Consider the following 15386-nt stretch of genomic DNA (forward strand, 5'->3'; position numbering starts at 1 on the left):
CTAATGGCAGGAAAGCCAGTTAGGATGTTCTGGTCACAGTCAGGATTTGATTTGTTGAGAGTTGGAATTAAGGCAATGACAGGACAGAACGATGGGCTGAATTCTGGAATGATTTCTCAGTCACTCACGGGAGTGGTGTCTGACTGGATAAGGCACAGGTGGGTGTTAGGAAAGGGAGAATTTGAGGAAGAGAGTGATTTTGTTTGAGGTCGAAGTCACCATCTGGGATCTTGGCAGCTGAACCTACTCCACAGGGGTGTTTTGTTGAACACAAGGGATTAAAATTTCTTTTGAATTGATTTTCATTTCTTAAGAAAATGCGAGCACTTATATTTAAAGCTAGATTTCCACCTCCTTTTGGAGAAAAAGAAATCTGAGAGTATTAGGCATAGATTCCAATAAAGCAACAACAGCTGGAGCTGGGGGGTGGGGTCGGGGCTTGGGTATTGGGGGAGGTACACGGATTCCCTAGTATTTCTTTGCCCCACCTGCCTTCGGTAAGTATTTGAGTCTGTGACCCCTGAGGGAACCGGTTGTGCAAGTCATAGGAATATACGAGATCATTCAGGCACAACAAGGAGAATTCCAGGCAACAATCACATTTCAGGACAGATAGAAAAGGAGAAGATTGCAAAAGGGATTTAGAAGCTTGGGCTGGGAGAGCGGGCAAGCAACAGGAAGGCAAAGTGGAATAAAAGATAGAAGTGGGGAACCTGCTGTACGAGGCTACTGAAGAGCCGAGTAGCATGGGGTTGAAATGGGTTGTTGATGTAAATGTGCCGCGTTGTGGTGGTGGTGGAGAGGTTGTCGGAGCCTATTAATGTTAAAAGGAAAAGTGCGCACTCAATCAGCCTGCAGGTGCAATTCTTTACCTGCCCTAGAGAAATGAAATTCTCATGGGTGCACAGGGAGAAGTGGTAAAGGGTGCCCTTTGTTGTATTATTATTTGTTTCAGTGAAGAACTAGAAACAACCTAAACGTGCATCAGGAGTTCAAGACCAGCCCGGCCAAGAGACCAGCCTCGCCAACATGGTGAAACCCCATCTCTACTAAACATACAAAAATTAGCCGGGCGTGGTGGCGGGCACCTGTAATCCCAGCTACTCAGGAGGCTGAGGCAGGAGAATTGCTTGGACCCCAGAGGCAGAGGTTGCAGTGAACCGAGATCGTGCCACTGCACTCCAGACTGGGTGACAGAGCAAGACTCCATCTCAAAAAACAAACAAACAAAACCAAAAAGAAACGCCCCCTCACACAAAAAAGTGGAGTTATAGGAAAATATAGCGTTATAGATGGCCTGTGCTGCGGCTTCCTCTCCCTCTCCTCCTCCCTCCTCTTCCCCCTCTCATTTCCACCCCCACTTCTTTAGAAACAGGATCTGAAGAAAACGCATCACATATACAACACTAGATACCCTTGATGTTCCTGAGATTGGGAATAAGTGGTTAAAAGTGAATTTAGGCCAGGGGCAGTGGCTCATGCCTGTAATCTCAGCACTTTGGGAGGCCGAGGTAGGAGGATCACTTGACGTCAGGAGTTTGAGACCAGCCTGACCAATATGGTAAAACCCCATCTCTACTAAAAATACAAAAATTAGCCAGGCATGGTGGCACATGCCTGTAGTCCCAGCTACTTGGGAGGCCAAGACAGGAGAATCACTTGAACCCGGGAGGTGGAGGTTGCAGTGAGCCAAGATTGTGCCACTGCACTCCAGTCTGGGCGACAGAGCGTGACTCCATCTCAGAAAAAATAAAAAAATAAAAAAAAAATGAATTTAATGTTTACCTTTATCTTTAAATTGTTGATTATCATTTTAACTAAGAAAGTGCTGTTGTGTATCACTTGTGCAATTAGAAATTAAAGCATAGCACAATGGATTTCGTGTTTTGCAAGGGCTGTTTCAGCAGTTATGGGAGTGGAAAATAGATTACAACATTCTGAGAAGTAAATGGGAGGTAAAGAGGCAGAAATTGAAATTAAGGGGAAGTGAAACATAGGGCTACAGGATGGGGGAAGACAGTCAAGGGAAACTTCTGTGTTGGTTTGCTTTTAACTGGAGTGACCCAAAAGCTCACTAAAAGGGCATGTTGGCTTCTCCTCAGAGGGCGTTGCTGCTACGGTACAGCAATGGAATTTGTTTCTGAGCTGAGATCACTCCCGTAATTTACATCCCAACTCTTCTGATACAGAAAAGCCTAGAAGGAAGTTGGTGTGAAATAAAAATAGTTTGATTGGTAGAATCAAATTATAATCTCTGTATAAAGGCTAAACATTTGCATGGGGGAAATGTTGCTTGAAATAGGATACAAAGGAATGTCCACCAATAGAGAAATTATTAAATGTTATAATAACCTGTAGGGTAGACTATTAGGTAGTTATTAAAAATCATGTTTTTCAAGTTTTAGAAAAATTTTAAAACATGGGAAAATGCTGGTAATACAATGTTTAATTTTAAAAGTGCATGCTATGAAACTTTATGCAGTTGAGTGCTTACAAAATAGTATTTCTGCATAAAGAAAAAAAGAAGGAAAAGTGGTTAAAATGTTAACAGTGGTTCTCTCTGGGTGATGAGGAAATTGGTGATTTTATTTTTCATGCATTTCTGTTGACACAACAATTTTCCGTCAAAAACATCATTGCTTTTATAATTCCCCAAAGGAACTGTTTTTAAAACTGTAGTTTGAAAATCATTTAGGAGGGAAGACAGCCAAGGAAGGGTTCCTGTTTGACAAGCAATCAGGCAAGCAGGCCGTAAGCAGCCTGGGCTTGGATTTTGGAGTTTTTTTTCTCCCACCTTTTCCCCAGATATCAAATGTCAGGCCTCCACACCATTAAAAGGACCTAGAACCATCAACTTCTCCAAGACTGGGTAACAAAAGTCAACTCTTTCCTGCTCCTAACTCAAGGGGGTGTTGTGTGTTCTTAACTTTATAAGAGAAACACAGAACTCTAGGGAGCTATAGACACAAGCTAGCAACAAAGATGTGGCCCCTGTCTCCTCAGGCTGACCTGAACAAGTTGTGTGATTCGCTGAGAGAAGGACTCTGCCCGCCTCCCTCATACTGACCCCGCTGCTTTCCCCAACATGGCAGGAGGCGATGCAGCCTCGTGATTAAGTCTGCAAACTGGGAATCACACACTCCCATTTGGAATCTTTGCTTTTTTGCTTAACAGCTCTGTGGCTTCTGGCAAATTCTGTAACTTCTTTACACCTCAGTTTTCTCATGTGTAGAAAGGAGATGAAGAACCCCACCTCACTGGGTTCCTCTGAAGATTAAATGGAATAACTCCATAGAGGAGAACATGCAACAGTTACTGAATCAATGATTTCATTCTCAGGTTCTCTAATTTTATTTTCTTTTCATCCTGCCTTATGGCCATAATTCAGGTGATAAAATAAGAAAGGACATGGCTGGCTGTGGTGGCTCTTGCCTGTAATCCCAGAACTTTAGGAGGCCAAGATGAGAAGATTCCTTGAGGCCAGGAGTTCAAGACCAGCCTGAGCAACATAGCTCAAAACATTCTCTACAAAAAAATGAAAAGATTGCTGGGCATGGTGGCATGTGCCTGTAGTCTCAATTACTTAGCAGTCTGAGGCAGAAGGATCTCTTGAGCTCAGGAGTTTGAGGCTGCAGTGAGCCATGACTACGCCACTGCACACCAGCCTGGGTGACAGACCAAGGCCCTGTCTCTTAAAATAAATAAATAAATAAATAATAAAAAAAAGGATAAAGAAAAGAGAGTTTGAGGAGAAAGATTCTCTCTCTCTCTCTTTTTTTTTTTTTTTGAGATGGAGTCTCTCTCTGTTGCCCAGGCTGGAGTGGCAGTGGCATGACCTCAGCCCACCTCAACCTCTGCCTCCCGGGTTCAAGCAATTCTGCCTCAGCCTCCCGAGTAGCTGGGATTACAGGTGCCTGCCACCACGCCTGGCTAATTTTTGTATTTTTAGTAGACAGAGCGTTTCGCCATGTTGGCCAGGCTGGTCTTGAACTTCTGACCTCAGGTGATCCACTCGCCTCGGCCTCCCAAAGTGCTGGGATTACAGGCGTGAGCCACCATGCCCAACCCACTGTGGCTTTCTAAAGCCAGACTTAGAGTTAACCAGATCTGCTGAGATCTTTCCTTACTTACACCTACTAAAGGTGAATTTATTGTTCTTTTGTTAATGAATACATCAAAATACTCGTATCTTTTATTAATCTCAGATAAAAGATCACTAGAGTATTGGAGGAATCGTTTCTAATACAACTTTTTCAGAAGAGGGGAAAGCAGCTTTTCAAAATGAAAATGAGGTCACTATTTCGTTCACGTGACTGTCATCTTGTGAAGTTCATTTTATTACAACCTGATCTTATAAAAAGAATCTCATTTTGGTTTAACTTTTTTAGGCTACCTAACAGATAACTTAAAAGTTTAGCTGAGAGTATTTATTTCCAAATTCCACAGTTGTCTTAAGAAATTTTAGAAAAAAAGGCAAAACACTGTGTACAAAACAGTTCAATGTGGTGTTATCTAAAATAGTGTGGTTTGTAGTAATTCCACGTATAATAGTACAGCAAAAGAAAAATGACTTATTCAAGGCTTGTTACACTGACACCATGAGATATCTTGTAGCCATAAAATTGTAATCGTGTTGTTTATGAGGAAAAAGAAACCAAAGCGAAATATATCTGATATAATTTTACATACACAAAGCATAAAACAAAATAGTTTGCACTGAACTGGGGAGTCAGCCAGCGAGCATTTAATTGAGTGCCTACTATATGCCAGCTACTTTCATAAGTATGAAATGGTCAATGTAAAAAATATTTGCAAGGACTGTGTAAAATTAAGATTGTGCCGGGGAATGGGATTATCATGGTTGTTTTTCCGTTCTCTCCTCTAACGTTTAAAAATACGTTGTGGTTTCATAATAAAGAAAAATACATGTCTGAAACAGCGTCATAATAAACGTTGCAGATGCTGATTTTGTGCTAACTTGATGCCAGGCACTGCTCTGAGCAGTGTGTGTCTGTATCTGATTTACTTCCATGATGATGGTATTATCACCATAGAACAACGCCATTATTACCATAATAGCACCACGCCCATTTTATAGTGAAGAAACTGAGACAGGATGTTCTAGCTCAGTGTCTTAGCTTGAACAAGCTCTCCCACTTAGCTCAGTGGGAATCCATGTTCTTAACCAAGACTTCCAGCATATCACACAGGGGTCTGCAATACAGTTATGCATGTGGCAGCTCCTATAGTATTTTCTCGACATTTGGCCTTTGGAGTGGCTCCCTCCCATTATACTGGGGTGTTCTGTGTTTTTCTGATTTATCACTCCCCTAAATCTTTACTCATAGGCAATACTCAATCAGGCATTGAATAAATCAATCAATTCCCCTCTCATAAAAGAGGCCAGGGATAATGTTGTTCACTTTCTTTTCTTTTAGAAGTGTCTGTCAGCTCCCTGAGATTTTCATAGAATTTTTTTTTCCTACATGCCCCACCACTGCCAGTTTCAACAGACAAGGCTAACTCAGTTCACTAGACAAGCAAACACTTCAACTGAGAAGGCAGTGATAAACACAGGAAGTTATTTCACCCTGGGAATATTCCGGAAACCAACTTTGAATAATTGCTTCATGTTCAGTTGGACACAAGTTCACTCCCAGGTTGACTCACGTATGTAAATGCTCCTGACTACCATCTGACTGCATCACACACACACCCCTACCTTTCCAAAATGCTAACTACACAGCATGAATCAGCCGCTCCTGATTCAGAGCCCCGAGTCCTTCATCATCAACCTGGGCTCCTGCCTTTGTCTCCTACCCTCATCCAGTCCAACAGCAAACCCCACCCGCCCCATCTTCTAAATAAATCCAGAATCTGATCACTCCTCACCATCCTGCAGCAGCACCTCAGTCAAATTCCAGTCATCACTGAGCTGCGTGACAGCAACAGCCTCCAAACTCCTCTCCCCGTTTCTTCCATTGGAAGGCTTGGAGCTGATCTGACTTAAATTTTAAAAGACTCATTCTGGCCGCTGTGTGGAGGGTGCACTGGAAGCTCACCTCTTTCTCTGGACCAATTTCTATCTGCTTTTTCCCTTCACATCTAAAATAGGTGCTCCCCGGGGATTTGGCTCCTGATCTTATACATACATGTATATATATATATGGGGCGTGTGTATATATATACACACACACACACACGCACACACACATATTTGAAATGGAGTCTCACTCTGTCACCTAGGCTGGAGTGCAGTGGCGTAATCTCGGTTCACTGTAACCTCTGCCTCCCGGGTTCAAGTGATTCTCCTGCCTCAGCCTCCCGAGTAGCTAGGACTATAGGCAGGCACCACCACGCCTGGCTAATTTTTGTATTTTTAGTAGAGATGGGGTTTTGCCATGTTGGCCAGGCTGGTCTTGAATACCTGGGATTACAGGAGTGAGCCACTGTGCCCGGCCGCTGATCCAATATTTTACAAAGTTTGTGAAGAGGATGACTAATTCGTGGAATCACAGGTTTTAATAAGTTCAGGGGCACTGGGCTCAGCAACTTGCAACTGGTTATTTACTGCAGGGATTCTCAGAACCTTTAGTATCCTCACGTGTCCTGGGGATCCTCAAGAGAAAGACAACAGTGGGTGTTTTCAAACCATGATGTTGTCTCAGATTCCTCCAGGGCTTGCTCCCTTTGTCCTTCAGGTTCATGCTCCATGTCACCTCCTCAGAGAAGCTGTCGCTGGCTATCCATAACATCCCGTCCTCTTTCCCTGACTTAGTATTTTGGGATGTGTGGCATTTATCAACATTAATAAAACGATATCTCTTTTTTCCTATTTATTACTATTATTTTTGCTTATGTAACCTCTTGAATTATCTTTGCTGATTAGTTTCTGCTACTTAGAGTCAGTAACCCAGAATCTATTAATATAACCTTCAGGAGTGTGCATGACGAAGTTATATTCTGTCCTGCTTAGTCTTCAGTGGTCACACGTTTTTTGTTTTTTGTTAGACAAAACAAAACAAAAACCCAAAAACGTGTGACCACTGAAGGTCAAACGTGTGACCCTGCTCTGTTGCCCAGGCTGGAGTGCAGTGATGCCATCTCAGCTCCCTGCAACCTCCGCCTCCCAGTCTCAAGCAATCCTCCCATCTCAGCCTCCTGAGTAGCTGGGACTAAGGGCACACACCACTACACCCAGCTAATTTTTTTGTATCTTTTTTTTTTTTTGAAGGAGTTTTTGGTCTTGTTGCCCAGGCTGGAAGCAATGGCGGGATCTCGGCTCACTGCAACTTTTGCCTCCCGGTTTCAAGCAATTCTCCTGCCTCAACCTCCTGAGTAGCTGGGATTACAGGCATGCACCACCAAGCCTGGCTAGTTTTGTTTTTTGTTTTTTGTTTTTTTTTTGAGACGGAGTCTCCCTCTTTCGCCCAGGCCAGACTGCAGTGGCGCGATCTCGGCTCACTGCAAGCTCCGCCTCCTGGGTTCACGCCATTCTCCTGCCTCAGCCTCCAGAGTAGCTGGGACTGCAGGCGCCCGGCTAATTTTTTGTATTTTTAGTAGAGACAGGGTTTCACCATGTTAGCCAGGACGGACTCGATCTCCTGACCTCGTGATCTGCCCGCCTCGGCCTCCCAAAGTGCTGGGATTACAGGTGTGAGCCACCGTGCTCTGCCTAGTTTTGTATTTTTAATAGAGACGGGGTTTCTCCATGTTGGTCAGGCTGGTCTCGAACTCCCAACCTCAGGTTATCCGCCCGCCTCAGCCTTTCAAAGTAGTGGGATTACAGGCGTGAGCCACCGCACCTGGCCTTTTTTTTTTGTATCTTTAGTAGAGATGGGGTTTTGCCATGTTGCCCAGGCTGGTTTCAAACTCCTGAGCTCAAGCAATCTGCCTGCCTTGGTCTCCCAAAGGATGGGATTACAGGCATGAGCCGCCCGTGCCCGGCCTTTGTTTTTCCTATTTATTATCTGACTTTCCCCGCTAGACTGTAAGATCCAGGAGAGCAAGAGCTTTGTCAGCCTCGCTCTCTGTGCAGCTAGACTGTAAGATCCAGGAGAGCAAGAACTTTGTCAGCCTCGCTCTCTGTGCATCTTCAGTTTCTACAACAGCACGTAACATGCAGTAGGTGCTCTCATTAAATCTTGTTGAATGGACACAGGTGTATTGATTTTCTATCATTATGTAGCAAATCACTGCAGAGTTAGTCACTTAAAACAATACCCATTTACTGTCTAACAGTTTGAGACTCTGGGTATAAGTTAGATGGGTCCTTCGCTTTGAGTCTCACTCGGCTGAAATCAACATGTTGGTCAGGGTTGTCATCTCATTTGAGGCCTGGGTCCTCTTCTGAGCCCACTAGTTTTTGACAGAATTCAGTTCCTGGGCAGTTGTAGGACTGAGGGACTCAGCTCCTGGAGCTCCTAGTTGGCCGCTGTGTTGTTCTCTCCACAGCATGGCAGTTTGTCTTGTGTCCCATACAAAGCCATGGGACAACGTCTGCTGCTGCTTCCCTAGTTCCTTTTAAGGGATCACCTGATTAAACCAGGCCTACCCAGGATAAACTTCCTCTTGATCAAATCAGAGTCAACTGACTGGGGACCTTAGATACAACATTCTTTTACCTTTGTCATGTAACTTAATCATAGTAGTGAAAGCTCATCAATTCAAAGGTCCAGCCAATGTTCCAGGTAAGGGGATTATGGATGCCATGTACACCAGGTCAAGGAGGGGACAATCTTGGGGACCACTTTAGAATTCTGCCTAGCACAATGTGAAGCTTTATATCCCTTAGAATACCTTATAGGATTGGTGGTCCTCTGGGAAATGCTTTGAGAAAGGTGCTTTCTCTTCCCCAATTCATCAACCTCATTTCTTAAACTAGAGAGCATATCTGCAGACAGCTCTGGGGGCTGAGCAGGTAAGAAGAGTTCTGTGGGGATTGTGTAAAAGTGAGACTAAGCCCCAGCAAAGGGGAAGGGTCATTTGGTGTCCTATATTTTGTCCGTGATCCCCCAACTTCCAATATTTCAAGAGAACATGGAAATCTGAATTTGCATATGCATTTTTCTGGTGTTTAAATCTTGGAAACAAATTCAAGTTTTAGCAGAATGCGTTGCCCTTTCCCGAAGAAACATGACTGTAGGCTGTACTGGGGAGGTTGCGTTGAAAATTGTTGCTGAAATGATCACTGTCTTTTGAAGGCTACTGCACCCATATCTTTGACTGGAAACTCTTCTCTGAAGTGTCATTTACATTTCTACTTGCTTGCATGGTGGAAATGTTTCTTGAGCTCAGAACAGAAAGTCCACTAACAGTTTCATCATATTTTTACTCCCTCCTCATAGTCACACGTCCTTCCTGGTGGGGTTAAGGGTTTTCACATACACCTGTTCAACCAACCTCAGACCTCAGTGATGTTTATGACTTGTTCTGTCTCTGTCACTTTCCTAACATCCAACTATCATGGGGTGAAAAAAATCGCTCTTAGAAAAGCTGCTTGAAGCCCTCTCTCTCCTGGCAGGAGGGCAGGAGGATGTATTTATGGAGAAAGTTTGCTTTTTCCTTGGAAAATCATGCTAATAGAACTTGAATTACAGAATTTAAAGCCTGTCAGGGAGGAAAGTGACAAATTAACCTACTTGGAAGAGAAATGGAAAAGCAGGTCTTATGAATGATCAGATTCTGTCACTTCCCTGCCCAAAATGCTCTAGCATCTTCCTATCAAGTTCAGGCTAAAATCCAGGTCTTACCATCATGGTTACAAGGTCTTTCTGGTTTCTGACAGCCTGTCCAACATTATCCAAGGGCACACGAGCTCTTTTCAATGTGTCAAATGTGCATTCACCTTAGGGCTTGTACAGTACCTCTTCCTTTTGTCTGGAATGCTTTTCTTCCTCATATTTGCATGATTCACTCCCCAGTCTATGAAACTCTGTGGTCAAATGTCATCTTAAAAGAGCCTTTCCCTGATCAACCCAACTAAATTCACATGCCCTTTTCTCGGTATTACTCCACTTTTTCATTTACTAATAGCATATTCCAGTTTTTGACATCTTATCACTAGTTGTTTGTTTATTGCCTGTTTCCTGTACCAAAATATAAGCTCCTTGAAGGGAAGAACTTTGTTTTGTTCACTTCTTTATTCTAAGAAATTAGAACAGTGCCTTATCCACAGCATAGATTCTCAGTAAATATTTATTCAATGAATGAACGAATGCAAGGATGGATGAACAAATGAATGGTAGGTCTGTTAATCTATCAATAAGAGGTGTTGCATCTCTGCAAAGAGATGTTTTGTTGTACATTTATTTTCTTTTCATAACTGTCTTTATTATCTCCTTGTTTCTAATTTTTCTAGGTTTGATTGCTTTTATTTTTCTAATTTTCTAAAGTGTGTGCTTAGGTCATTGATTTTCTTCCTCTCTTGTTAGCTAATATGTGTATTTAAAGATAAACATTTCCCTATAAGCACAGCTTTAGCTGAATCCTACATTTTGATATGTCAAATAAATATTTTCTAATTTCTACTGTGATTTCTCTTAAATCATGAGCTATTTGGATTGCTTTGCCTCATTTTCAATTATTTAGACATTTTCTTATCCTTAGTTATTGGTTTCTAGCTAATTCCACTGTAGTCAGAGAACATATTGTGTGTTTTTAGCATTTGAAGTTTGTTGAGACCTACTCCATAGTCCAGCATGTGACAACTTTTGTTAAATGTTCCGTGTGCACTTAGAAAAAGAAGAGGTAGTGTGCAGTTATTGGTTGGTTTGTTCTACAAATGTCAGTTAGGCTGAGTGTGTAAATAGTGCTGGTCAAAATTTCTCCATTCTTACTGACTTAAATTATCTTTTTGTTTATCAGTTGCTGATAGAAATAGGTTAAAGCCTACTTCTATAATTGTGGATTTATTTCTCCTTTTAGATCTGGCAGTTTCTGCTTTATGTATATTGAAACTATTCTAGCAGGTACTGTAGATTTAGAATTGCTTTTTCTTGTAGGATTGACCCTTTTTGTTATTATAAGATAATCCTCTTTACCTTTTATATTGTTTCTTTTCTTAAAGTGTATTTCATCTGATACTAGAATAGCTACACTAGCTTTCTTTTGATTAGTATGTTCATGAAATATCTGTTTCTATCTTTATTTTCATCTTTTCTGTGTGCTTATATTAGGTCTTATCTCTTGTAAGAAGATTATATTTGGGTTTTTTTTTAATTTAGCATAAAATCTGTCTTTTAGTTGGAATATTTAGTCTATTTACACTTAAAGTAATTATTAGTATAGTACTATCACAATATTAATATATTACTATTTTAATTAGTTTCAACTTTTACCAGTTCCCCCTTTTCTCCCTTCTGACCTTTTAAATTAATGAGGTCTTTTTTCAATCATTGTGCTTCTCCTATTAGCTTGTTTTTTCTATATTTTTTATTACCTTATAGATTACAATGATAATTCCTGACTTATCAGAGTCTAATAAAATTAGTACATTTGCTAGCTCTCAGGCAATAAAATAATTTGGAACATGTTTAGTACCGTTTTTTTCTTGACTACCTTTTGTGTTATTGCTACCATGTATTTGAACTCTACATATATTTTATTTTATTTTATGTTTTATTTCTTTTTGAGATGGAGGCTTGCTCTGTCGCCCAGGCTGGAGTGCAGTGGCACAATCTTGGCTTGCTGCAACCTCTGCCTCCCGGGTTCAAGTGATTCTCCTGCCTCAGCCTCCCGAGCAGCTGGGATTACAGGCATGCACCACCATGCCTGCCTAATTTTTGTATTTTTAGTAGAAATGGGGTTTCACCATGTTGGCCAGGCTGGTCTCAAACTCCTGACCTGAAGTGATCCACCCACTTTGGCCTCCCAAAGTGCTGGAATTACAGGTGTGAGCCACCACACTTGGCCTTCTATATATTTTTTAAATCCCAGAAGACATTATTATGATCTTTTAATAGAGTTGGTATTCGTTTAGATTTACCGACACATTTGTCCTTCTGTTGCTTTTAATTCTTTCCTATGTTTTTATTCTTCCATCTGAGATCATTTTATTTTTTTCTTAAAGAGTATCTTTTAGTATTTCTTTTAGTAAGGACCTGCTGGTAATATAGAATTTAGTTTTTGTTTATCTGAAAACATAGCAATCTTCAATTTTGATAGCTATTTCTTACTGGGTGTAGAACTATAGGTTGGCAGGGTTTTTTTTAAACCCCTTTTGTTTTTCTTTCTTCTTTTCTTTCTTTTTCTTTTCCATCTTATCTTTTTTTTTTTTTTTTAAGGAGTTTGTCCTCAGACTTTGATTAGTTCTGCTGAATCAGCTGTCAGTCTTATTGTTGCTTTCAATTGAAGTGGAGCACTGCATCTCTCTTTTAGGATGCCTTCGAGGTATTTGTCTAGCTTTCATGTTTGTACTCAGTAGGTAAGATGGTCTGCAACTATGTAGCCATTTTTCCCAAGAGAAATTTCACATATTAAATGGCTTTGGTTTTCCACAGATGATGTTAGAGATAGCAAGTGGAGGTAGAGGGAATGAAGGGAGATCAAATCAAGAGAGGTTAAGATAGAGGAAGTAGCTTTACCTAAGGTGAGTAGACCCTAGACAACTGGCAGAACGCTGGGCCAAAGGAAAGATATAGGGGGCAGGATGGCATTTTCTGCAGATAAATGACCCCAGAAATTCAGACACTGTGATATCCAATATTCACTTTATATCTCTCTTTATTGTGTTGTATTTCCCTTAAGTAAGTGAGGTTCAGAGAGGATAATCAGCTTGTCCAACATCAAACAGCCGGTCAGAGTGACAGGCTGACATTCAAACTCATGCCAGTAGACTCTAGATCCCACACCTTTCGCTGCTGAACTATATTAAAGATCAGAGGCTTTTAAAGTTTTCTTATTACAAATCATAATAAGAAATACATTTTGAGTCTATACACATACATTAGTAATCAAAACAAACCTTCCACTAATGGATGTTAACCATATTACCCGTGATGCACCATGAGCTTTCTGTTGTATTCTATTCTATTCCATTCTGTTCCATTCCATTTCATTTGCTGGATCAACATAAGTGGGTTGGGCCCTGGCTTCAAATAAAAACCACTGCTAAAGACAGGAACTTACCTTAAAGGTTAAAAAAAGTACATAACTCCGATTAGCCAAGAAAAACTCAGAAAGTGAGAAGGAAGGGCAAAAAAAAAAAAAAAAAAGTCACTTCTTTTTGTCTTTCAGGAATTTTAATAATAAAACAGCTTTGGATCACCTATTTTAGATTCTTCTAGTAGACAGCCCCCAGTAGATTCCTTAACTTTTCAAATGGCATTGAAAAAGCGAGGAAGTTATTTCACCTCTTTGGGAGGCTGTCTCAGTCCTCTCTATCCATTGGAGGGCAGGGCAGCCACTCAATAAGTGTCTGTTGCATGAGTCAAGTAAAGGATCAGACCGGGGTGTCTCAGAGCCTTCCCTGCTCTTCTATTCTCTGTTAAGCCACTGAATGAAGAAGGCTGCCACATTTTCCTCTGGGTCAATATCAACAGCAAAACAATATCCCAGAACGGTCATTTCTGGGACAATAAATAGTTTTCCAGAGCTGCTATCTTAGGCCTCTCTGCCACTAAGGGATTAAAGAGAAATGCACACCCCTCCAGAATTTCCTGTCCTGTCTTGCGGTTAACTTAAAACATTTTCAACTCCCGCCTCCCCCTTTCTCACCATCTCTCTTCATGGTTAAAGAGGTTATAAATTTGCAAAGGAAATGATTAAGCAAATCCAGAAAATTTGGCCATGGGACCTGATTTTTCAAGGCCTTAGTTTTTGAAAGCTGAAGAAATCTGTCCACTGAAGGATTTGCACATGAGTTTTTTAGTCTTAGGGCTGGGGCATAATTTCCTGTTTTTGTATTCTCAAAACTGTTAAGCTACTTGTGAACAACTGGCCAGCAAAGATAGGGAGGGGGCAGGGGATGCGGAGAGAGGGTTGTGAGCCCAGAGGGGAGGAGAAAGGCTGTTTCTCCTCAGTTCTCACAGAACCTCTATGAAAATAGAAAGATTTATTTATTTATTTACTTTAAAGACTGTGAAGTAGAGACAAGGGGTAGATTCTAGACATTGAAGTTGGAGGTGTGAGTGGTAAAGAGGAGAAGAAACATGTTTTAGCAGGAACTTGAATAAGCTGATTGAAACTCAAAGAACAGTCTGTTTCCATAAGCATGAACATTTCTTAGACACTCATTTTGTGCTTTGCATGGAATACATCGTTAAATCCCCACAGCAACTCAGTGAGGTGGATTCTACTAGTGTCTCCACTTTATGGATGTGAAAGTGAAGCTGGAAGAAGTTAAGGAACCTGCTCAAAGCCACGTGGCTAGCAAGTAGCACCACTGGGATTGCAACCAAGGCTGTTTGGACCCAGAGCCTGTGTTCATAGCTACTGCTCTCTTCTGAAGATAAAGGAGGAGACAAGGATGTCAGCATGACCATAGCATACATGTTCATTTATTTAGAGCCAGGGAAGGGGGTGGGACACTAATCAAGGTTGCCCCTTCCCTTCACTTCCCTTCCCTTCCCTTCCCTTCCCTTCCCTCCCCTCCCTTCTCCTCCCCTCCCCTCCCCTTCCCTTCCCTTTTTTCTCCTCTTAAAGCCACCAACTGTGCTAGGTATTTGTATGTTTACTCTCAGATCATTTTTCCAAGCTTCTCTTCAAACTGCATTTCCCAGGTTCCATTACCAACTGGCTTCTGGTTAAGTTCAGCCAGTGGGCGGCACTGACACGTATTTTTCCTGCCTCCTCCCTCCAGTCAACAAAAAGGTACTGCTTGCAGAAGCCTCCATTGGGTTCCAGCTACCCTCAAGCAGCCTCACCCCCATCCACATGGGGTTCTATTTCCCACAGGGTGCCGGGTTCCCTAGCTCCAGAAGCATCACCTCTTCCCTTTGGCTGTGTGTCTCTAGTGGTGGTTCTTTTTGTAGCCTATTTCTATTTCTTTCTTTCTTTTTTTTTTTAAATTATACTTTAAGTTTTAGGGTACATGTGCACAATGTGCAGGTTAGTTACATAGGTATACATGTGCCATGTTCTATTTCTAATCTCCGGGTGGGCCTCACGGCCCCATGGTTGTCTTTTCAACTCTTCCAGTACCTTTAAAACTAGCACCCATATTAATGTCCTTCTATTCAGCTCCTTGTCATGGGATAGAGGTTCCCGAGAAAACCCTAAGACACAGATCACAGATTTTTCTTTTTTTTTTTTGGAACAAAGTCTCGCTCTTGTCCCCCAGGCTGGAGTGCGATGGTGTGATCTCGGTTCATGGCAACCTCTGCCTCCCGGGTTCAAGGGATTCTCCTGCCTCAGCCCCCCGAGTAGCTGGGATTACAGGCGTCTGC

The 15386-nt window shown here is 41.8% G+C and overlaps 1 long non-coding RNA gene across 1 annotated transcript in view, besides 2 other annotated features; it reads left to right on the forward strand.

The window, feature by feature from the left end:
- BCAS1-AS1 (BCAS1 antisense RNA 1) overlaps positions 1-15386 on the forward strand; it is a 28093-nt gene that overhangs the window by 5618 nt on the left and 7089 nt on the right. The gene's annotated exons all lie outside the window — the stretch shown is intronic.
- Positions 9867-9966: an enhancer, noted in NCBI's record as "active region_18138". NCBI's record gives its function as "activates an Ori minimal core promoter by ATAC-STARR-seq in GM12878 lymphoblastoid cells {active_cell/tissue: GM12878}" and the evidence as "EXISTENCE:reporter gene assay evidence [ECO:0000049][PMID:35858748]".
- Positions 13906-14407: an enhancer, noted in NCBI's record as "H3K4me1 hESC enhancer chr20:52551551-52552052 (GRCh37/hg19 assembly coordinates)". NCBI's record gives its function as "activates a minimal SCP1, AML or CMV promoter by ChIP-STARR-seq in primed H9 embryonic stem cells {active_cell/tissue: H9 hESC(primed)}" and the evidence as "EXISTENCE:reporter gene assay evidence [ECO:0000049][PMID:30033119]".

This window comes from Homo sapiens, chromosome 20 (genome assembly GCF_000001405.40).
Source record: "Homo sapiens chromosome 20, GRCh38.p14 Primary Assembly".
NCBI classification, from domain to species: Eukaryota; Metazoa; Chordata; class Mammalia; order Primates; family Hominidae; genus Homo; species Homo sapiens.